This window comes from Homo sapiens, chromosome 8, assembly GCF_000001405.40.
Source record: "Homo sapiens chromosome 8, GRCh38.p14 Primary Assembly".
NCBI lineage: Eukaryota > Metazoa > Chordata > Mammalia > Primates > Hominidae > Homo > Homo sapiens.
In genome coordinates, this window is record NC_000008.11 from 1933548 (window position 1) to 1953830 (window position 20283).

At 50.1% G+C, this 20283-nt stretch overlaps 1 protein-coding gene and 1 long non-coding RNA gene across 23 annotated transcripts in view, besides 2 other annotated features; one reads left to right on the forward strand and one right to left on the reverse strand.

Moving 5' to 3' along the window:
* The window catches only part of ARHGEF10 (Rho guanine nucleotide exchange factor 10), a 135313-nt gene that overhangs the window by 110219 nt on the left and 4811 nt on the right, over positions 1-20283 (forward strand). For 16 of the 22 annotated variants that reach the window (XM_047422452.1, XM_047422450.1, XM_047422454.1 and 13 more), the window contains 3 exons: positions 253-395; positions 11934-12108; positions 19158-19280. In XM_047422452.1, the coding sequence (XP_047278408.1) occupies positions 253-395; positions 11934-12108; positions 19158-19280 (441 nt within the window). Of the gene's footprint in view, positions 1-252; positions 396-11933; positions 12233-13816; positions 16875-19157; positions 19281-20283 lie in introns of those variants that run through there. The other 6 variants (XM_047422461.1, XM_011534770.3, XM_047422460.1 and 3 more) reach the window with 3 other exon arrangements.
* On the reverse strand, positions 1190-9223 carry LOC100131395 (uncharacterized). The gene has a single exon (XR_110093.6). It is a non-coding gene; the product is annotated as an uncharacterized LOC100131395 (long non-coding RNA).
* Positions 12881-13032: a silencer, noted in NCBI's record as "fragment chr8:1894594-1894745 (GRCh37/hg19 assembly coordinates)". NCBI's record gives its function as "represses an EF-1alpha promoter that drives an FKBP-Casp9 reporter gene in an ReSE screen in HepG2 liver carcinoma cells {active_cell/tissue: HepG2}" and the evidence as "EXISTENCE:reporter gene assay evidence [ECO:0000049][PMID:32094911]".
* Positions 16123-16623: an enhancer, noted in NCBI's record as "H3K4me1 hESC enhancer chr8:1897836-1898336 (GRCh37/hg19 assembly coordinates)". NCBI's record gives its function as "activates a minimal SCP1, AML or CMV promoter by ChIP-STARR-seq in naive H9 embryonic stem cells {active_cell/tissue: H9 hESC(naive)}" and the evidence as "EXISTENCE:reporter gene assay evidence [ECO:0000049][PMID:30033119]".

Below are 20283 nucleotides of genomic sequence, written 5' to 3' on the forward strand. Positions count from 1 at the left end.
GGCAGGGGGGCGGGTGGGGGGTCTTGAGGGCTGCGTGTCCCACAGCTGTCTGTGCTTCCCGACTGTGCACCATGGCCCAACTGGGGTGGGTGTCAGCTTGTCGATCCCCAGACACAGCCAGGATCAGGCACAAGCATTAACATTACAGGTGATCCTTCGGGTGTCAGTTACTTAAAATGATGTATGACCCCATTTTCCCATTCCTGTGCACAGAAAACTGAACTTGAATGAAATGAAATATTTTCTTTTAAGATGGATCCTGGGATTCAGAACCTCAAAAAGTGATCAAGTTAGGCGTCCTACCAGTTAGAAGTCTACTCATGATGGAAGACACGTTGTGGGCGGCTTCCGGAGGTCAAGTCTTCATCATCAGTGTGGAGACTCATGCTGTAGAGGTAAGTCACTTAGGTGGCTACACGGTGTGGAAAAAATGCATTTCAGAAACAGCTCAGCTGACTTCTGGTGCCGAAGTCAAGGCTTCTTGCCTGTGGCTAAATTTCCTTCTAGCCGGGCACAGTGGCTCATGCCTGTAATGCCAACACTCTGGGAGGCCAAGGTTGGAGGACTGTTTGAGCTCAGGAGTTCCAGATCAGCCTGGGCAACAAAGTGAGATCCTGTCCCTACAAAAAAATTAGCTGGGTAGGGCAGTGCGCACCTGTAGTGGATGTGGTGGTTGCACACCGGTAGTCCCAAGTACTCGGGAGGCTGAGGCAGGAGCATCACTTGAGCCCAGGAGGTCCAGGCTTCATTGAGCCAAGATCTCGCCACTGCACTCCAGCCTGGGTGACAGAACAAGACCCTGTCTCCAAAAAAAAAAAAAAAAAAGGAAAGGGAAAGAAAATTCCTTCTAGATTTTGCTTAGAAAGACAAGATTAGCAAGAAAATTCAACTAACCATTTTTTAACCATTTACCTGTGTTCACTGGTTATCTGCTAAGTAAAAGAAACATTGCTTTAAGAAATGTGTTCAGTATGAACCTGTAGAGTCCTCCAGGACTTAGGGAAAATTTGCATTTGATTGAGGTGACATTTCAATTCAGTGGGCTAAATGGATCATTCACCAAAGAATCAGGAGACAAGTGGGCAGCCGTTTGGAAAACACGGAGCTGGCTCTCAAACCCCAGCCCTCTCCTCCTCTAAACACTCCAGATGGATGGGACTTTCACCATGAAGACGAAACTATAAACCTCTAAGATAAAAAGCAGTAGAACAGTTTTATTACTTTGCAATGGAGAAAGCCTCTCCAAGCATGCCACAAACCCAGAAGTTACCATAATAAATAAAATGGTACAATTTAATAACTTTTTTCACATTGAAATATGTGTATCAAATATTTATGGAGGAAAAATTGGGAAAAAAATTCCTGTATATATGACTAAGAATTAATGTTCTTAAAATACAAAGATTTCTTATTAAACTAAGAAAAAGGTAACCAACCCAATAGAAGATGTTCAAAGGACATGAACAGGCAGCTCACAGAAAAAGAAAGAAATAAACAATAAACTCATACACATATAACTTAGCCTCCTTAGCAACTAACATTGCCTATTAAAACAAGGTACTGTTTTATTAATAAACTTTATTTTTAGAGCAGTTTTAGGTTCACTGCAAAATTGAATGAAAAGTGCGGAATTTTCCATGTACCCCTCCTCCCACACACGCACACCCCCCACAACCCCCCATCAGCCCCGTCCTGGAGTGGTGCGTTTGTTACAGTCAGTGAGCCTGCATGGGCCTGTCATCATTGCCCAGGGTCCACAGTCCCTCATCACTCAGGGTCCACTGGGGGCTTACTCTTGGTGCCGTGCTTCTGTGGGTTTGGGCAAATGTATCTCAGCATTGTCCACCACTACAGCATCGCGCAGAGTGGGTTCACTGCCCTGGAAATCCTCTGCTCTCTGTTCAGCCCTCCCTCCCCCAGTCTCGGCAACCACTGGTCTTCAGGGTGCCATTTCTTCAGATTGACAGAAGGTAAACACTAAGTACGACCTGGTTGGAACGTGGGGACACAGGGCTCTCAGGACCGCGGGGTCTTAGGGCAGCCCCTCCGGAGGGCACTCACCTGTTACCAGTTAGCACTGGGGCTCATAACGTCTTCCTGGCAACTCCGCACCCTAGAGAAATCCTCTCTACAGAGGAGCTTGTGCACGCACATCTAAGGGTATCCATTGCAACCTTGTTGGTATCACAAACACTTGGGAGTGTCCTAAATGCATGTGCATGGGAGGAGCTGGGGAAATGAGGGCATCTATGCCCCACAGAGCAGGTGAGCTCAGGCAGCGGGAGGAGGCCCAAACTCTCCTTGTGGGTGTTCCTAAATGCACGCCCATGGGGGCACGTGCAGGGAAGCAGGCTGCGGAACACTGTCCGAGCTCACTCCGAGGGAGGCTGTGGTGCCTGATGAGCCCACCCGTGTCTGCTGTTAGTGGCCGTGTGACGTGCCAGCGTGTGTGTGTGAAGTTGGACTGACATTCCTGAAATGATGAGGAAAAGGCTACATACTTCCCCTCACACCTGCATTTTTCAGCCGTGTCATATGTGGTGTTTATTATGAGGTTGCGCTGTCTTGTTTTTTACTGTCTGTTCTTGGCCATCTCTTGACCCCACTGTCCCTAAACAAACTGGGATAACACAGGTGTGTTTTCACCCAATAAAATGGACCAACTCATCATTAAAAATTCCTCTGGGCCGGGCACAGCGGCTCACACCTGTAATTCCAGCACTTTTGGAGACCAAGATAGGTGGATCGCTTGAGCTCAAGAGTTCAAGACCAGGCTGGGCAACATGGCAAAACCCCATCTCTACAAAAAATATATAAGTTAGCTGGGCACGGTAGTGCATGCCTGTAGGATATTCGGGAGGCTGAAGTGGGAGGATCACTTGAGCCCACGAAGCTGAGGCTGCAGTGAGCCAAGATCGCACTGCTATACTCCAGCCTGGGCAACAGAGTAAGACCCTGTCTCAAAAAAAAAATTCCTTTGACCCTCACACAAAATGTCACAGGAAAGTGTCTTCAGTTGGGGCAAGGGGTCTAATTTCATCTCTTTGAAGCCTCTGAAGACGTTCTAATGACTAAATCTACACAAATCCAGAAAGAAATGTTATCATTAAGAGCTTCTAAAAATACTTCTCTAGACCATCGTTAGGAGGGATGTATCAGTTCCCCAGGTTAGGAACTTTAAGACATTTTGCTGACATTTCATGAATCATATTTGCACACACTGACGAGACCGGTTTCAGGATGTGCCTAGGCTGCATCCTCTGTCATCTCAGAGGGAAAGTGGCTCCTGAGCTGCCACGTGGACACCGCTTTGGCTTGCAGCACAGTGGGATGCGGGCTAATGCCGTCTTCAGCCAGGAAAGGGCTCTCCGGCTGGCCCCTGGAGACGTGGGTTTGGTTAGGAATGCGAGGTCCACACTGGGGCAAGGTGCAGATGGGACCTGGGTCCTGAGCCTCCTGGAGGCCGACGCTCTGCCGTGGATCATGAATAGCATTCCCGCGTGAGTCTTTTTTTGACACAGCCTCCCCGACGTCCTTCGAGACCTGGTCTGCTAGACAGGAACAGAAAATAGCTGGACAGGGAGGTTGGGGTACATGTTAGATGATTTTTGGCAGTATTGTTCCTGTTACTTTTCATATCCATCTGACACTTCTTATTTCACGTGCCCTGAGAATGAGAAGCCTTCAGTTTCGTGGGGAGCCAGGGATTAGCTAGTGCGGCCATGCAGGGTAGCCCCGTGGATGCGGTCACAGCTTCTTGAGTTTTTCACAGCCCTTGTACCCCATCAGTACAGCCATCCTAGTAATTGCGTATTTACAGAGGGAGCTCAGCCATATAGTATACGGTGATCTTGGATCAGCCGCCTACCTGGGTCTCAATTGTCTGAGCTGACAGCTGGGGGTAATTCCCCTTTCTCAGGCTGCTTGTAATTTATATGCTGTAAATCTCGAAGACTCAGAGAGAAGCAATGTGTTTGGATCCAGATATAGGGCTCTTTCCTTGCATTTTTAGTACCAAAATAACTAAATACATTTTTAGAAAGAAGCAAAAATCTGCTCTCTGAAAACATGATATTCATCCTGTCGTTCCCGTTGTGCAGGGGAACTGTGGCCAGGGGCTGGGGCAGCCCACAGGACCTGAGCCCACAAGATTCGAGCCCTGGGTATGTGTCCGCCTTGCTGACAGCGAGGGCAGCAGCTGCGGGGGGATCCGTCCCGAATGGCCATATGCTGTCAGAACAGTGCCGGCCTGGGAGCTGCATGTGATCTGGGCTTGGGTTGAGCGGGTTGGGAGATGCTAGCCATATTTGGAAGAAAAAGGCACCTGAGGCTCTGAGGCTTCGGTGTTCCTGGAGTGACTGTGCCAGTGGAGGAGTCAGCATACCGGTGGGGGTGGCTGGCCCCGTCCCAGCTCTGGCGCCATAACAAAGCAGCACTGGGCGAACCAGTAGAGACGCTGAGCCGGGTGCTTGGTGCAGCACCCCCAACGTGGCAGGGGGCACCCACCTGTCTGTCAGGGCCGTCAGGAGCAGATGGGAAGACATGCCATGGACGCTGAGCTGCCGCACGGTGCCAGTCACAGTCACCTGGATGCTTTAGGGGAGGGGAAGTATCTCTTTTTCTCCAACTGCAAATGGCCCTTTACCCTGGGTTTGTCCAATTGCTGTTTAAATCTCATAGTGTTAGGAACACGATGCAGTGCTAAGGGATCTGACGTCTGACGTTTAGGAAAAGGGTGAATCATTCTGGATTTCTGGGGGGCGTTGCCTGGACAGGTTTCTTGCTTAGAGCCTTGAGTCACAGCTAGTTTCAGTGGAATGACTACAGCTGCTTAAAGTGCAAACCTTTTCTTCCTCACTCTTGATTTTCTGCAATATGCAGTGCTCTTGACTGAAGACAGATGGAAGGAAGGAAAGAGAGGAAAAAGGTTTCTGGCCCTCATCCTCCACTGAAGGGAAAAACAATGAAATAATAAAATAGGCGAGATATTAAAGATGACCTAAATAGTGCAACATAGTGATTTGCTGCAGCAATGCGTTTTTTTTCTCATAGGAAGTTAATTCTTGTCATTGTGTAGAAAGAAACACAGGGCAACAAAACAGGCCTAAGCGGGCACGGTGGCTCACACTTGTAATCCCAGCCACTTGGGAGGCTGAGGCAGGAGGACTGCTTGAGGCTAGGAGTTCAAGGCCAGCCTGGGCAGCATAGCGAGACCCTATATCTAAACACAGAAAATAAAACAACAGGCCCAGGTCAGCAGAAGAGGCCAGAGATCCCCGAACACTGTGGAATCTCAGTCCCCAGAAAATCTGAACACTGTGGAATCTCAGTCCCCAGAAACCCCCAAACACTGTGGAATCCCAGTCCCCAGAAACCCTGAACACTGTGGAATCCCAGTCCCCAGAAACCCCCGAACACTGGAATCCCAGCCCCCAGAGACCCCCGAACACTGTTGAATACCAGTCCCCAGAAACCCTGAACACTCTGGAATACCAGTCCCCAGAAACCCTGAACACTGTGGAATCTCAGTCCCCAGACACCCCTGAACACTGTGGAATCCCAGTCCCCGGAGACTCCTGAACACTGTGGAATCCATAGCCTGCTTTCTTTCAGACACCTTCAGAATCACACAATTTCAAGGCAAACGGAGACTTAGAGATCCTGTGGCCCAGTGTTCTTATTTTCGAGAACCAAGGCTTAGAGAAAGGAGAAGCCATGCCCAACATCAGTGCTAAGGTAATACCCATATAATCTGTCCTCCAGAAGAAACATAGCAAACATTTACCAAGTACCTAGCACTGTGCAAAAACAGAGCAACCACAGATGGTTAAGACATTGATGACACAGGCCCGGCTCTCAGTCCCAGGATGGCTGGGCTGCCAGCGTGAGTGAGGGTGCTGTGGGAGTTTTGGGGGCAACACTCCCTCCAGGCCTCAGGCTGGCACAGTGAGCCGAAATCCAGGGGCATTGCATCCCACGGTTACTACGAGTTTCACGACGGCAGCAGCAAAGCGTCAAGCCAAGCATGCGTCCCTGCAGGCACAGGGCCCTCGGCAGCTGCCTAGGGATGGTGCCCATGTGGCTAGCTGGTCGAGGGTGAGGAGGGATTCACTAGGAGAAAAACCGGGATGCCACCTCAGAGAGGGAGAGATGCATCAGGCTTCGAGACTACTGGTCCCCAAGGGGCTGCTGGAAGCAGAGGGTGGGTCTGCGAGCACAGTAGGGGACAAGGAGCTTAGGTCCTGTCACTGGCTCAGCTCCCGGGGACTGGGGGGAAGCATGGGCAGTGCAGGCATCCCCATGCCGCTGAAGGTAGCCAGCAGCCTTTGACTTGACTTCTTGGAGCACAGTTCTGTGTAGTTTTCTTTTAAACAGCACTTTTGCAGCAGACGGTGCTGAGCCATTGAAGGGTTTTCAGCGTGGAACAGATGTCAAAATTTGTTTTCAGAAGAGTATTTTGCCAGCAACGTAACGGGGTGCGAGACGCTTGGATACTAGAACAAAGGAGGTTGCGCTGGGTTAAAAACTCCATGGGTTTGGTTTTTTTAAATCATCTTTCCAGAAGTTTGGATTGTGATTGTGAAAGAGTCAAAAGCCCGAGGAAAGAAAGAAGCTTTGCTCCTCTATAGTCACACCAGAGTTCTGTCATACGCCACGGTTGTTTGTTTTGCTTTTTAAAATCCTCTCTATGGAAGTCGCCTTCCTCTGCCCCAAACAGTTTTCCAGGGAGTAATTTCTGCTTTATTCTGAACTAGCTAAAGAAACCAGCTATGATGGAGACTTGTGTGTGAAACAGGCAGCAGGTGGCCAACAAATTAGATAATCTAGAAGAGATGGACAGACTCTAGAGTGGCACAAACTACCAAAACTGAATCATGAAGAAATAGAAATAGAACATTTGAATAGACCTAAAAGTAGTAAGGAAATTGAATCAGTAATCACAAACTTCTGAACAACAACAAAAAGCCCAGGACCAGATGGCTTCATTGGTGAATTCTAACCAAACATCTTTAAAAAGAATTAACAGTACTCTTTCCCAAACTCTCCAAAAATATTGATGAGGACGGAACAACACTTCCTACTCATTCTGCAGTCAGCATGACCCCGATACCAAAGACATGACAAGAAAACCACAGACCGGTATCCACTGTGAGCACGGATGCAAAAATCCTCAACGGAAGACTTGCAAATTGAAATCAACAGCGTACTGAAAGGATTGTGTACCCTGGAAAAATGAGATGGATTCCTGAAATGCAAAGATGGTTCAGGACGTGAAAATCAATCAGTGGAATGCATCACATTAACAGAATAATGGGGAAAAAACCCACATGATCATCTCAATTGATGCACAAAAAGTACTTGACATGATTTATCACCCTTTTATGATAAAAACAATCAAACTAAGACTAGAAGGTGATTTTTCCTCAACCTGCCAAAGGACATCTATAAAACACTCACAGCTAACATCATACTTTATGGTTAAAGAAGAAAAGTTTTCCCCTGAAGATCAAGAACAAGACAAAGATGCCTTCTGCCATTTTTATTCACAGTAGTACCGGAGGATCTGCCAGAGCAATTAGACAAGGGAAAAAGAGTGGAGGACTCAGATGAAAGGAAGAAGTAAAGTTGCATTTGCATATGATATCCTCTTGTATGTAGAATATTCTGAGGAATTCACAGCAAAACTACTAGACTAATAAACAGGTTGAGCAAGGTTACAGGGCACAAGATCGGTATACAAAAATCAATTAAATTTCTATACACTAGCAGCAAACAACCTGAAAATGAGACAAGAAAACAACTTCATTTATAATGCTGTCAGAAAGAAAAATACTTGGAGAAATTTTTAATCAAAAAGTGCAAGATTTATACTCTAAAAACTACAAGACATCATTCAGAGAAATTAAAGAATACCTAAATAAATGGGAAGGCATCCTATGTTCATAGATTGGAAGATGTACTATTGTTAAGAAGAAAACAGTCCCCAATTGGATCTGCAGATTCAACATAATCCCTATCTAAATTTCTGCTGCCTTTTTTTTTTTAAACAAAACTTGACAAGCACATCCTGAGATTCATCTGGAAATGCAGGGGATCCAGAATAGCCAAAACAATCTAGAAAAAGAACAAAATTGGAGGCCCACACTTCCTAATTTCAGATTTTACCACATAGCCACAGTAAGCAAGACAGCATGGTGCTGGCACGGGACAGACACATACATCAGTGACATAGACCGGAGACCACGTGTGTCTATGTTCACATAATTTTCAACACGGTGCCAAAACTATTCCATTTGAATGTTGAATGGCCTCTTCAACAGGTGCTGCTGGCACAACAGGTGCTGCTGGCACAACTTCATTCTTCCATGTGCAGAAGAATGAAGTTGGACCCCTGCCTCACACCACATACAAAATTATCTCAAATGAATTAAAACATAAATGTAAAAGCTAAAACTATAAACACCTTAAAAGAAATTATAGGGGTAAATCCTCATGATTTTGGACTAGACAGTGGTTTCTTAGATCTGACACCTCAAGCACAAGCAACCAATGTGGAAAAATAAGATACACTGGGCTTCATTAAAGTTAAAACCTTTTTGCTTCAAAGGACACTATCAGCAGGGTGAAAAGACAACCCACAGAGTGGGAGAAAATACGTACAGCTCATGTGAGAAGGATCTAGTATGCAGAGCATCTAACTCACTCTTAGATCTTAATAAAAAGAAAAGTAACGCTATTAAAGGCAAGGGAACTGAATGGATATTTCTCCAAAGAAGATGTACAGTCGACCCATAGGCACACGAGAAGATGGTCAGCATTGTTGCTTGTTAGGGAATCATGGAGCGAAACCACAGTGAGACACTGTGTCACACACTAGGATGGCAGGAATAATAATGTTAGTGGAGCCAGCACGCACTGCAGAGTACGTGAGGATGCTGGGAGACTCTTGCTGGTGGGAATGCAGAATGGTACAATTTCTGAGAAGACAGTTTGTGATTTCTTCAGAAAGTAACTCGTGGCATGACCAGGTGACCCAGCATTTCCAGTCGTAGGTGTAGATTCAGAAGAACCTGATACTCATGCAGACACGAATTATCATAGCAGTGTTATTTATAGTCAAAAAGCGGATGCAGTCCAGACGCCCAGGAACTGGTGAATGGACAAACAGAATGTGGTTCCTTCATACATGAGGATTGGTTTCAGCCATAGAAAGGAGTGAAGCCCCAACTCACGTCACGTGGATGAACCTGGAAAATGCCAAATTCAGTGAAAGAAGCCAGACACAAAAGGCCGAACATTGTAGGATTTTGTTTATATGAAATGTCAGAACAGGCAAATCCAGAGACAGAACGTGGATGGGATGAGTGGTTGTCAGGGGCTGGGGAAGGGGGCATAAGGGTGATAAAATGTTCTGGAATTCAAGAGTGGTTAAAGTTGGCAACTTCCCGAATATACTAAAAAGCACAGAATTGCGCCCTATAGAAGGGTGAACTTCATGATATGTGAATTATAGCTCAGTGTTTTCAAAAGGAGGTGGCAGTTTTGGAAGTAGCTGAGAAGTTAGCAGAAGTTAGCCTGAAGCAATGGCTGCGGGGAGCGGCCTGCCTAGCACAGGCAGGAGGAGGGGAACCCTACAGCCCAGCCGGAAAGGGGCACAGGCTTTTCTTCCTTTTCTTTTTCCCTATTTTTCTTTTTAATTTGAGTGAGACTTGTGCATGCTTTGGGGCTCAATGACAGAAGCCAGGAGAGACAGGGCCCCATTCCAGGAGGAGGGCGAGGAGCAGGGGAGGAAGGAGCCAGTGCCGCGAGGAGGCCAGATTCAGGGAGCTCTGCAGGTTGGAGGTGGAGTGTCAGGGAAGTGTGGGCCTGCACACCTTCTCCTCTGTGACGCAGGAGGCCAAGTCAGAGGGAGGAGGGATCAAAAACAGACCCACGCTAGAACCATCTGGAATCCGAACCAAGACTTCCCAACTCCCAGGCAGATGCTCTGTCTCCCACGCCGCACAGCCCAGATAGTTTAGACTGTGAAGATCCTGTGAAGCTTCAGTTCATAAAAACACTTGGGATCTTTGTGTGTGAGATTCGTGTTCCGCTGGGGAGTAAGAGCTGGATTATCTGCCTAGGAACCAAGTCACAAGTCAGTGATGCAGACTCCTTTGCAATTGTGAGCACCAGTTCCTTCTCATTGACAAATATTTAAATTCAACTTGTGATTATTGAAGAAATTTTCTATGAGGAAACTACGGGCATATGGCGAGAGGTATTACACGGCTGACTCTAGAATGGGCATTTTATGAGGAAACTACGGGCATATGGCGAGAGGTATTACACGGCTGACTCTAGAATGGGCATTTTAGAGGTGGGGCTCTCACTTCACATCAGGGGACCTGGGGGGTTCCAGTTTGCTCCAGGGGGGTGGACAGTCAGATGTGGAGCCCGCTCAAGACCCACAGTGATGGGACTTGGGGCCGTGTGGGCCAGCCTCCCTGACTGTGTCACCTCCCTGGGGACCCCAGCCTCCCGCACCGTGTCACCTCCCTCGGGACCCCAGCCTCCCGCACTGTGTCGCCTCCCCCAGGATCCCAGCCTCCCGCATCGTGTCGCCTCCCTCGGGATCCCAGCTTCCCGCACCGTGCTACCTCCCTGGGGACCCCAGCCTCCTGCACCATGTCGCCTCCCTGGGGGCCCCAGCCTCCCGCACCGTGTCGCCTCCCTCGGGACCCCAGCCCTGCGTGCCCAGCCTGAGGACACAGTCCTCTCCTCAGCTCTCAGGCCCTGCAGCGCCCCTGTGTAGGCTGGAGTCCTCTGGCCCCTGTCCCTGATGGAATCTCAACTGAAATAAGAGGCGATGCCATGGGAGAAGGGATCTCCCATCCACTGAAGTCGCATCCCTGAATTCCTGCCCGCCGGGTTCACTGGGCTCTGGGCGCGGCGTAGTGCCGCAGGATGGGGTTTGGTGCCACGGGGCATGTGTGTGGAGTCAGCAGTCTCCACCATGGGGGCTGTCGTCTTTTCCCTTATTCTCAGATTGTGGGACAACTCGTAGGGCCAAGATGTCAGTCTGGTTATTTCCTGTGGGTTTTTATGAGTTTCATCACTTTACTTTAGATAACTGTGCAGGATCGTGAGTTTCTTTAATTTCAAGAGCTGTGAGGCTGCTGGTTCCTGGGGCACGCAGTGTCTCTAAGCTTCATCCCAGCCCTCACCCTCTGTCACCCCCTCCAATCCCTGATGGGCAAGGCGGGGGCAGTCCTCCTGGGACTGATCCCAGAGAGCCTGAACTCCAGGCAGCCCCTGAGGCCATGTTGGGGGGTCGCTGTGTTAGCAGCTCCTGCTGGCTGTGGGGTGACGAGGGCCCAGGCCCAGGCACCCGTGGGACCCCTCAGAGCAGGCCGCTGGGATGCACTTTCGGAGCTGCGGGGCTGCAGCTGAGCCTGGAAGCTCCAGAAGGACCAAGTTGCTTGGAGAAGCAGAAGGTGCCTTTCCAGGACAGCAGAGCTAAGAGGAGGCACAGACTCAGAACCAGGGTCAGGCTGCAGGCAGGCAGTGGGGCCCCATGCCATAGCTTGGAGACATCGAGGAAGGTTCCAGCAGGTTCTGATGGGCCTGGGGGGATGGATCCTGTGCCTCCCCTCGCCAGCCTGCCCATGTCTCCTTTAGGACACAAGCTCAGTGGCCCCTCGGCAGGCGCACCATGCCTGTGTCTTTGGAATGGCCATTTTCTGGGCTCACAAAGGAGCCAGGATGATTGGAAAATGGCAGGCAGTTGGGTTGCTGGTGTTTGGTTGCTGGAGACGCCTGTGATTTGGAGCAAAGCCTGCTACTGTGTTGCAGCCACTGAATGGCGCTCCAGCTGGACGCCACGTGGACCCAACAGGCCCCACTCAGACTCACTCCACGGGGCTAGCAGACTTGACCTCTCGATTTCACAGGGTCAGCTGGAGGCCCACCAGGAGGAAGGCATGGTGATCTCCCACATGGCCGTGTCCGGCGTCGGGATCTGGATTGCCTTCACCTCAGGGTCCACGCTCCGCCTTTTTCACACGGAAACTCTCAAGCACCTGCAGGACATCAACATCGCCACCCCTGTTCACAACATGCTGCCAGGTAAGGGGACGGGACGGGGCCCAGGGATGGGACAGCAACCGGGGACGGACGTGGGGGGTGCGGAGCGCTGTCAGCCCACCTTAGCGCTTCCCAGTGCAGGACACTGTTCACAACATGCTGCCAGGTAATGGGGTGGGACAAGGCCCAGGGACAGACGTGGGAGTACGGAGCATGGTCAGCCCACTTTAGCGCTTCCCGGTGCAGGGCACAGGTCCTGAAGGAGCCGCGTGCTGGGAGGAGCCGCGTGCTGGGAGGAGCCGCGTGGCAGTGCCATCTCTGTAGGTCAGAGTGGGTGGGAGACGATTTCTCATCATCGGTGCAACAAGGCCCTGGGGAAGCCAGGACCTGAGGCTGAAGAACACAGAACAGGAGGCCTCCCTTTGGCTGGGAGGGCTGTTGGGGAGAGGCCAACAGAGGCCTATGTTTGTGAATGCCCTGTTGCTGGTGGGTGTCACTGAAGTTTCTGGGCAGGGGAGAAGGCCATTACACATTGAGTTTTGGGAGGATCATCCTACAACAGGATGGAGGAAAGAAATGAGGAGGGGGCCCAACCGGCTTCTTTCACGGGTAGCCGGAGGCCGCTGTGGGGTCCGTGGAAGGGCTGTTTTGCTTCTTTGCCTGCTGGTGGGTATTGGAAGACATTTGCAGTTTTAAGGGGAAGGCATGAAGTAAGGGCTCTGCCTCCGAGCCCTTCGGCTGCTGTGACACACGCCACAGACGGGCTGGCTTACAAGCCAGAGAGGCTGCCCCTCCGCGTTCTGGAGGCAGCATGCCGGGGAGCACGGTGCCTGCAGGGCCGGTTTCTGGGAGGATCTGCTTCCTGCTTTGCAGTTGGTGCCTTCTGGCTGGGGCCTCATGTGGTGAAGAAAGAGCCCTGGGGTCTCCTCCGCTTCCTATAAGGGTGCTAATCCCATCATGGGGACCCTATCCTCATGAACTCATCTAACCCTAATCACGTCCCCAAAGCCCCGCCTCCTCGCACCATCCCACTGCGGGCAGGGCTTCAACATCGAAATCTGGGGAGACACAAACATTCAGTCCATGACGGGCCATTTATGATACGTTGAAAAAAACCACAATGATTAGGGGTCTGGTTCTAGAACGGGTGTGAGGCCGTCCTTTGACAAGGGGAGGATGAGGAGGCCGAGGAGGTGTTGAGGATGTTCCTCGGGGCCTCCGTGTCCCCGCCGCACTCCCACTGGAGATGGGAGGGTGAATATATTCGGTGCACGGTGGGTCCATGATAGCCGTTCTTTTCTCAGGGGCTAACTGTACAAGTCATTGTTAAAATACTACAGGAGATTTCTCTTAGTGAGAAAAGGAGGTTTATGTAACATGCAAGTTTATATTTAGAGAACCAAAATGGTTAAGTCCCTGTGGCTCAGAAAGCAGACGCTCTGCTGTGGACCTTGTGTTTTCTTTGGAGCACTCACTGCTAGAGCAAATGTTTGCTGCAGGAATAGGCTGTCCTTGTTGGGACAAAACCAAGTCACATCCGTAATTGCCAAAGCACGCTCTCACGCGGCAGTGAGTGTCCATGTGTTCAAAGTTCTGTACACAAGGGGAGGTGAGGAGGGTGTTATGAGAAAAACCTCTCCACTCGACCTCCCGTGGGCTCCAGCACCCGAGCCTCCAAATCCTGCCCCAGCTGCCCTGCAGCGCAGACCTCCCTCCGGGGCGAAGCAGCCCACGGTTACCCTGGTTTCAGAGTTCCGAGAGCAGCCACGGAAATGCAGCGGCCCTGCAGGATCCTTGGTGTTTATCCCTCTCCGGGTGGGATCAGAAAGAAACTCCTAATCAAGGGAAGGCTCTGGCAAGTGTGAGTGGAGTTTGTATTTTGAATTTGATTTCTTAATAAAATAACCCTTGCACACGATTTAATAAAACCCAACAGCACTCACGCCCAGGCTATGAAAAGCAAAGCAGGATAGGAAAGCCTGCGCTCTGGGGACTCACAGCCCCGCCCCCATCCCAGCACCCCACCCACTGTCAGCACCCAACCCTGCCCCCATCCTCACACCCCACCCCGCATTCAGCACCCACCCTCTCATCCCAGCATCCCACCCACTGTCAGCACCCGCCCCGGCCCCCCGCACTGTCCCCATACCCCACCCCGCTGTCAGCTGCCTCTCCCGCCCGCCTCCCTACTGCTGCTGCTCGAAAGCCACTCCTGTATGGCAGGTTCTTGATGCTTTGTTTTAGATACTGTCTTTGACCTCTCCTGTAGAAGAGAAAGATGGAATTATCCTGCTTCCCTCCAAGCATAGAGCACCCAACACAGTCCTGCACCCACCCAGAAACAGAATGCAGACCCCTTGCCGGCTGCTCAGGTCGCAGGTTCTGGCTAAATCGCAGCTGCCTGTGTTGCGTGTTTTGGATGATGAAGTTGTCTGTGGCTGGGCGCTGAGCCTTCCTTGGGACTTTTCACCCTTCAGCTCATAGTTTCCAGGCGGCCGATGATGGATCCATCCCAAGCCCACCACAAGCCTCTCACTTGGCAGCAGATGCATGGGGCTCTGCAGAGCCACCATCCCCTGGCGCCCACTCTCCCGGGCCCCTCCAACATCCTGGGCTGGCTCTCCATGGCCACAGTGCGTGCTCTCAGCCCCCTGCTCCGGGGGCCCCTGAATCGTGGGTCTTTACTTATTCCTACACGACATAGTCAGGTCTGCATTTTAGACCCGCATGAAAGCAAACACATGAGTCTGTCCAGATGGAGTGCCGTGCTTCTCGTTGGCAGGTTTCTCCGGCATTTCGGTACTAAGTTGGAAATAGCTCCAGCTTCACTGATTTCTGGGGTACACTGACTGCTTTACCCACATTCAGTTCTCTGCTCCCAGGCTGTGGTCTGCTGCCACCGTGGCCTTGTCAGCAGGAGAAAGGTACACGGGTTAGAGGCAACCTCGGTGACACCAGAAGTTCAGTTTTGTTTGTGATGCTTCTGACAGTGATTCTCTGTAAGATCCTCAGTGCGGCATAGACTGAAATGGTTCTGATTTTCATTGCATTTTGTGACTCAGAGGGAATGAGCAGGCCAGAGAGTCCTTTCCTCCAGAGAGTCCTTTCATCTCATCTCCTCTGTCTAGTCGTCTTTGCCTTTCAGCTAATATTTCATATATTTCATAGAAATAAGCATTATTGCATTTCATGCTGTATTTAGACATTCCGGTGGGGGCATGCTCATACCGTGCTGAAGTGCGCGGATGCTGAGGTCGCCGGGCCGTCACTGCTCCTGGGTTCTTCTCCTCCTTATCGTCCAAGATGGTTCCTGGAGGCCCACACATGTCCTCTGTGCTCTGTTCGCACACACACAAAACCTTCATTCTAGAGTTGTATTCATGACGATGCTCAAATGGGTTTTCATGTGTGTGTGTGTGTGTGTGTGTGGCAACAAGACATAAAATTATCTTTTTGTGCTATTGCTGGAATATAAAAGTCAGGTAGCTTCTGCAAATGAAGACTTGCCAAGCCGAAACAACAAAATTTGAAAAAAACAAACTGTATTATAACTCATGCCTTTTGTGTAAGTTCACACAACGTGATGAAACCTCCTTCCTTCCTCAGGGTCTCAGCACGCTGGCCCCTGGGGAATCCGTGAATCTGTAGCTAAGGCCCTGGCTTTTCTCCTTCTATTTGGAATTCACTTCTGAAAACCATTTAGCTCACGTTCTTTCACATAAGCTACATCAGATTCAACACAGACTAACAGTTGATGAAGGTCTGTGATTAACATACACATTCGTTAGAGCGGTCGTTACCTTTCTAAGTTATAAAGGAGTAGAGTTTACAGCGAGTGAGTTCACGGCGCCTCAGCTTTTAGGTTGTGAGCAGTTGCAGTAGGTTACATCACCAGGCAGATGTTTCCTGCTCTGTCCCGCATGTTCAAAGGAGGATATTTTTGATGGGAAAGTGCTGAGACACATGGTAAATTGCGCCTTTCTGAGTCTCCACCGAGCGAATACAGAGCCTCCAGGAACTATGTGACCAAATAAAATGGCCAAAATTTCCATTAGAAAAAAAAAGACAAAAAACGTGTAACTTTTCTGAAGACCATGGACTACACCGTAAGGGAATTCAGTAAATGAAACCGGACTCAAGATGGTGAGTTAACGAACGAGACTGAGGACTTGGGAGCCACAGCCTTTCTCGGTGGCCGGTGTGGCCCTGGCCTGTCCTTTGTTTTATGTTCCAGGCTGGGAAGAGCAGAGGGCGAATCCCCCTGGTAGCATTCCCTCCCATACTTGGGGGACGTATTGCTTCTTCTACTCACTGTTCTGTCTCTGAGGTTATTTGAATGAACCTGGATGGTGTTGTTTACACCCCCAGCTTCTCCCAGCCTCCAGGGCGGGAGATGCGTCTGCCTCTGTGGCTGCCTGCAGAAGGCCCTGGTGACTCCCCACGGAGTCACCATCCAGCAGCCGCTCAAGTGCAGTCAGTCCCACTTCACACGTGTAACCCATTTACCAACCTCACTGTGCAGCTGCATCACCGTTCACCACCTCAGCTGCCCCTGCCTCCCACCTCGCCAGCGGACCTCACGTGGGCTCCAACTCCCGGGACCCAGCCCCATCTGGGACACGCCCTGCTGTCCTGTTCTAGGTCACTGTTGGTGCTTCCGGACGGGCACGGGACGCCTGGATAGCGGCACTCACCGCAGCCTCTGGAATCGGAAAATGACCGCATGACCTCGTGACTGTGGCCCTCAGCTTTCCCATGTAAAATTAAAGATGTTGATTGGCAGACTGCTTGGAAAATGCAATGGAAAACCACTCTCTGGAACTTAACTCTTTTACGTCGTTCCTGGGTACTTTGAAACCAGTTAAAAACATTCATATCGGGTTTCTACCTGCTTTTACCCTTTTTATTATTTATTTATTTATTTATTTATTTATTTGAAACGGAGTTTCACTCCTTTTGCCCAGGCTGGAGTGCAGTGGTGCGATCTTGGCTCACTGCAACCTCCGCCTCCCGGGTTCAAGCAATTCTCCTGCCTCAGCTCCTGAGTAGTTGGGATAACAGGTGCCTACCACCACGCCCAGCTAGTTTTTTTGTATTTTTTTGTTTTGTTTTTTAGGTTTTTTTTTTTTTTTTTTTTTGTATTTTTAGTAGGGATGGGGTTTCACTATGTTGGCCAGGCTGGTCTGGAACTCCTGGCCTCAGGGGATCCACCCACCTCGGCCTCCCAAAGTGCTGGGATTACAGGCATGAGCCACTGCGCCCGGCCTACCCTTTTTATTAAATGCAAGCTTTGGCCAGCATTACAGGAGCCCTTCCAGAAGCCGGGCCATCGTTTCAGTCACGCAGCCGCAGCCTTGCCCGGCACGCAGGTGGGGCTTCTCCCCTTCCCAGTATCTCACATCCCTGCTCCCACAGCGGGGCTGCTTCCCATCCTAGTGCCACACGGAGGGCCGGGGAGGCCGGGTTCAGGTTTGATGCTGAACTCATATGCACACCGGTTTTCTCTCTCATAAGACAATCATGTTTCATGCTTAAAATACTTACTGTTGAGTCAAACTGCTGCTCTAGAAAGATCATCCACACTCCCTTTGCGGCTGCGCCCCGGGCTGCTCCCCGTGTTGTAGAGCGGTCAGCACTTCGGAGCAGCTGGGAATCGCGTACCCTGCGTATCAGCTTTGAAGCTGCTGCCGTGTTTCTCATTAGCTTTAGAAAGTAACAGCACCGGCTTACGTACAGGACAGCGCTGTGGATTCACTATCGCCCTGACCAAGTCACGCCGACCAGGCCAACATTCAGAATTCCTGGGACATGCATATTATTGAGCTTTTAAAAATAATATGAATCGGCGTTTAGAAATAGAACCAAATGTCTTTCTTTTTCTGTAGTGAGGGTTTTTTGTTTTGGGGGAGGCTGTTTGACCTCTGTCGATACGGAGTCTTTGGCTCTGGTGTGAGGTTGTTTTTCATGCTCTTTATCAGAGATGAACTTTGGGTCAAATGCAGGGATATTTAAAATAGCTTTTATATCTACAGAAAAGAATCAAACTGTTTTTAAGTGTTCACCGTCACTTCTCAGGAGCAAGCTAAATGGGCCTACTGTGCTCCTCAGCTTTGGGGCTAAACAGAGAAACACTGGGGATTAGCTTTTCTGTGTGTGAAGGCCGCGATGCTGACGATTGTGTCAGAGTTGTGGTGGAATGATGTGACAGTCCAGACCCACCCTGAAACCACAGTGAGGCGGGGTCTTTGGAGCAGGTGATGTGGCTCCCACCCTGTAACTGCAGTGAGGTGGGGTCTTCCTTGTAGCCACCGTGAGGCGGGGTCTTCCCTGTAACCGCCGTGAGGCGGGGTCTTGGAATAGGCCATGCGTCTCCCACATTGTTTTGCAGCCACTTTCTAGCCTTGTCACTGCCGGAGCAAATTGTTTAGTTTCTCTGGGCTTCAGATCCTTGGCTGTAAAGCAAATCAAAACCAAACTAACAAAGAGCCTCAAAGGCCCTTCTCACCCCACCATCCACCGTGATGTTTCCCTGCTGTGTCCAGCGCTGAGGCTGTGTGACGATGTTGTTCTTCACGCAGAGCCCTGGAGAGGCCGTTCAGTTCCCCTCTAGGGTCCAACTGCGGCTGAGGGCCGGTTACTCGAGTCCAGCCGCGCCCATTAAGAGACCTCTCCTCACTTGTAAAGGGGTCTCTCTGCTCCCAAAGAACCACAGGCCGCTGTGTATGTCGGGGGCTCACGAGCTCACGTGCTACACGGCCCAGAAGCAAAAGGTTTAGACAGATTCATCCAGGGGCTTGATTCATGGCTGAAGCGGCCAAGCAGAGCCATGCAGACGACAGCCCAGGAGACCCAACCAGACATCTGGCCTGTTCTGTTCAGGTGCAGGTGCAGGGTATGCCCTCAAGACCCTTGTCTTGCTCATGTGGTTGAGGGAGCCTGGTGCTCGGGTTTGGGAACTCCTGTGCCACATCCTGCCCCTGGCGGATTTGGTGGTGGCACGACAGGCCTGTGGGGTTTCCAGCACCCCGTCACCGCCCCACCAACTCTGCTACACAAACCAGACCCGAAGCCACTCATGTCTTTCCGCCCAGGGCACCAGCGGCTGTCGGTGACGAGCCTGCTCGTCTGCCACGGATTGCTGATGGTCGGCACCAGCCTGGGAGTCCTCGTGGCCCTGCCGGTCCCACGTCTGCAAGGGATTCCCAAAGTGACCGGTGAGTGGCACCTGCAGTCTGAGTGGCTGCATCCTGTCTTGCAGGCTCGTGGAGCATAGCAGTGTGTAGTGTGATTTAACATCCTAGGATTCTTTAAACAATTCATATTATCTGTGGTTTTTCAGTGTATTATAATGACTTAATAGACTGTTTAATTGGAATTATCAATTTATATATTTTTCCATTTTTTACCTTAGTAGTCCAAGGAGAATCTTATGTTTTTATATTCTGTTTACTGCCAGAATTAGTTTCCATCATTCCTTTCTGTGTTTTATATTGTGGAGAAGGAAGCCGGGATCTCCGTTGTTCCTTTGTGTGTTTTATATTGTGAAGAAGGAAGCCGGGATCTCCGTCATTCCTTTCTGTATTTTATGTTGTGAAGAAGGAAGCCGGGATCTCCGTCGTTCCTTTCTGTATTTTATATTGTGAAGAAGGAAGCCGGGATCTCCGTCATTCCTTTCTGTATTTTATGTTGTGAAGAAGGAAGCCGGGATCTCCGTCGTTCCTTTCTGTATTTTATGTTGTGAAGAAGGAAGCCGGGATCTCCGTCTTTCCTTTCTGTATTTTATATTGTGAAGAAGGAAGCCGGGGATCCGAAAAGGCTCCATTGTGCTATTGCAATGTCAGTAAGAGCTCAGGCTGGAACACATGGCCTTTCTGGACACAGTCCCGTTAGGGATTGGAGGCCTTAAAACATGCTTGTGTGTCTGGAATCAGGATTCCCAATCCAGGGAATTGGCCCAGGAAACAGCCTAAGCTAGGAACAAAGTATGATGCAAGAAGACATTTGCCACAGCATTTAATTTTTAACAGCACGAAACAGGAGGTGACCCGCAGTTCGTAATGACGGATTGGGCCATTTAATAAAATGGTGGCATTGCCGGTAATGGGTAGAACACAGCCAGCAGAAGTGGTGTGTGCAGAGCCTGCAGTGACGCGGAAAACTCCTCGTCCTGTTAAGTTCAGTAAACCACAGCCTTAGATTCTATGTGGGTTACTATGT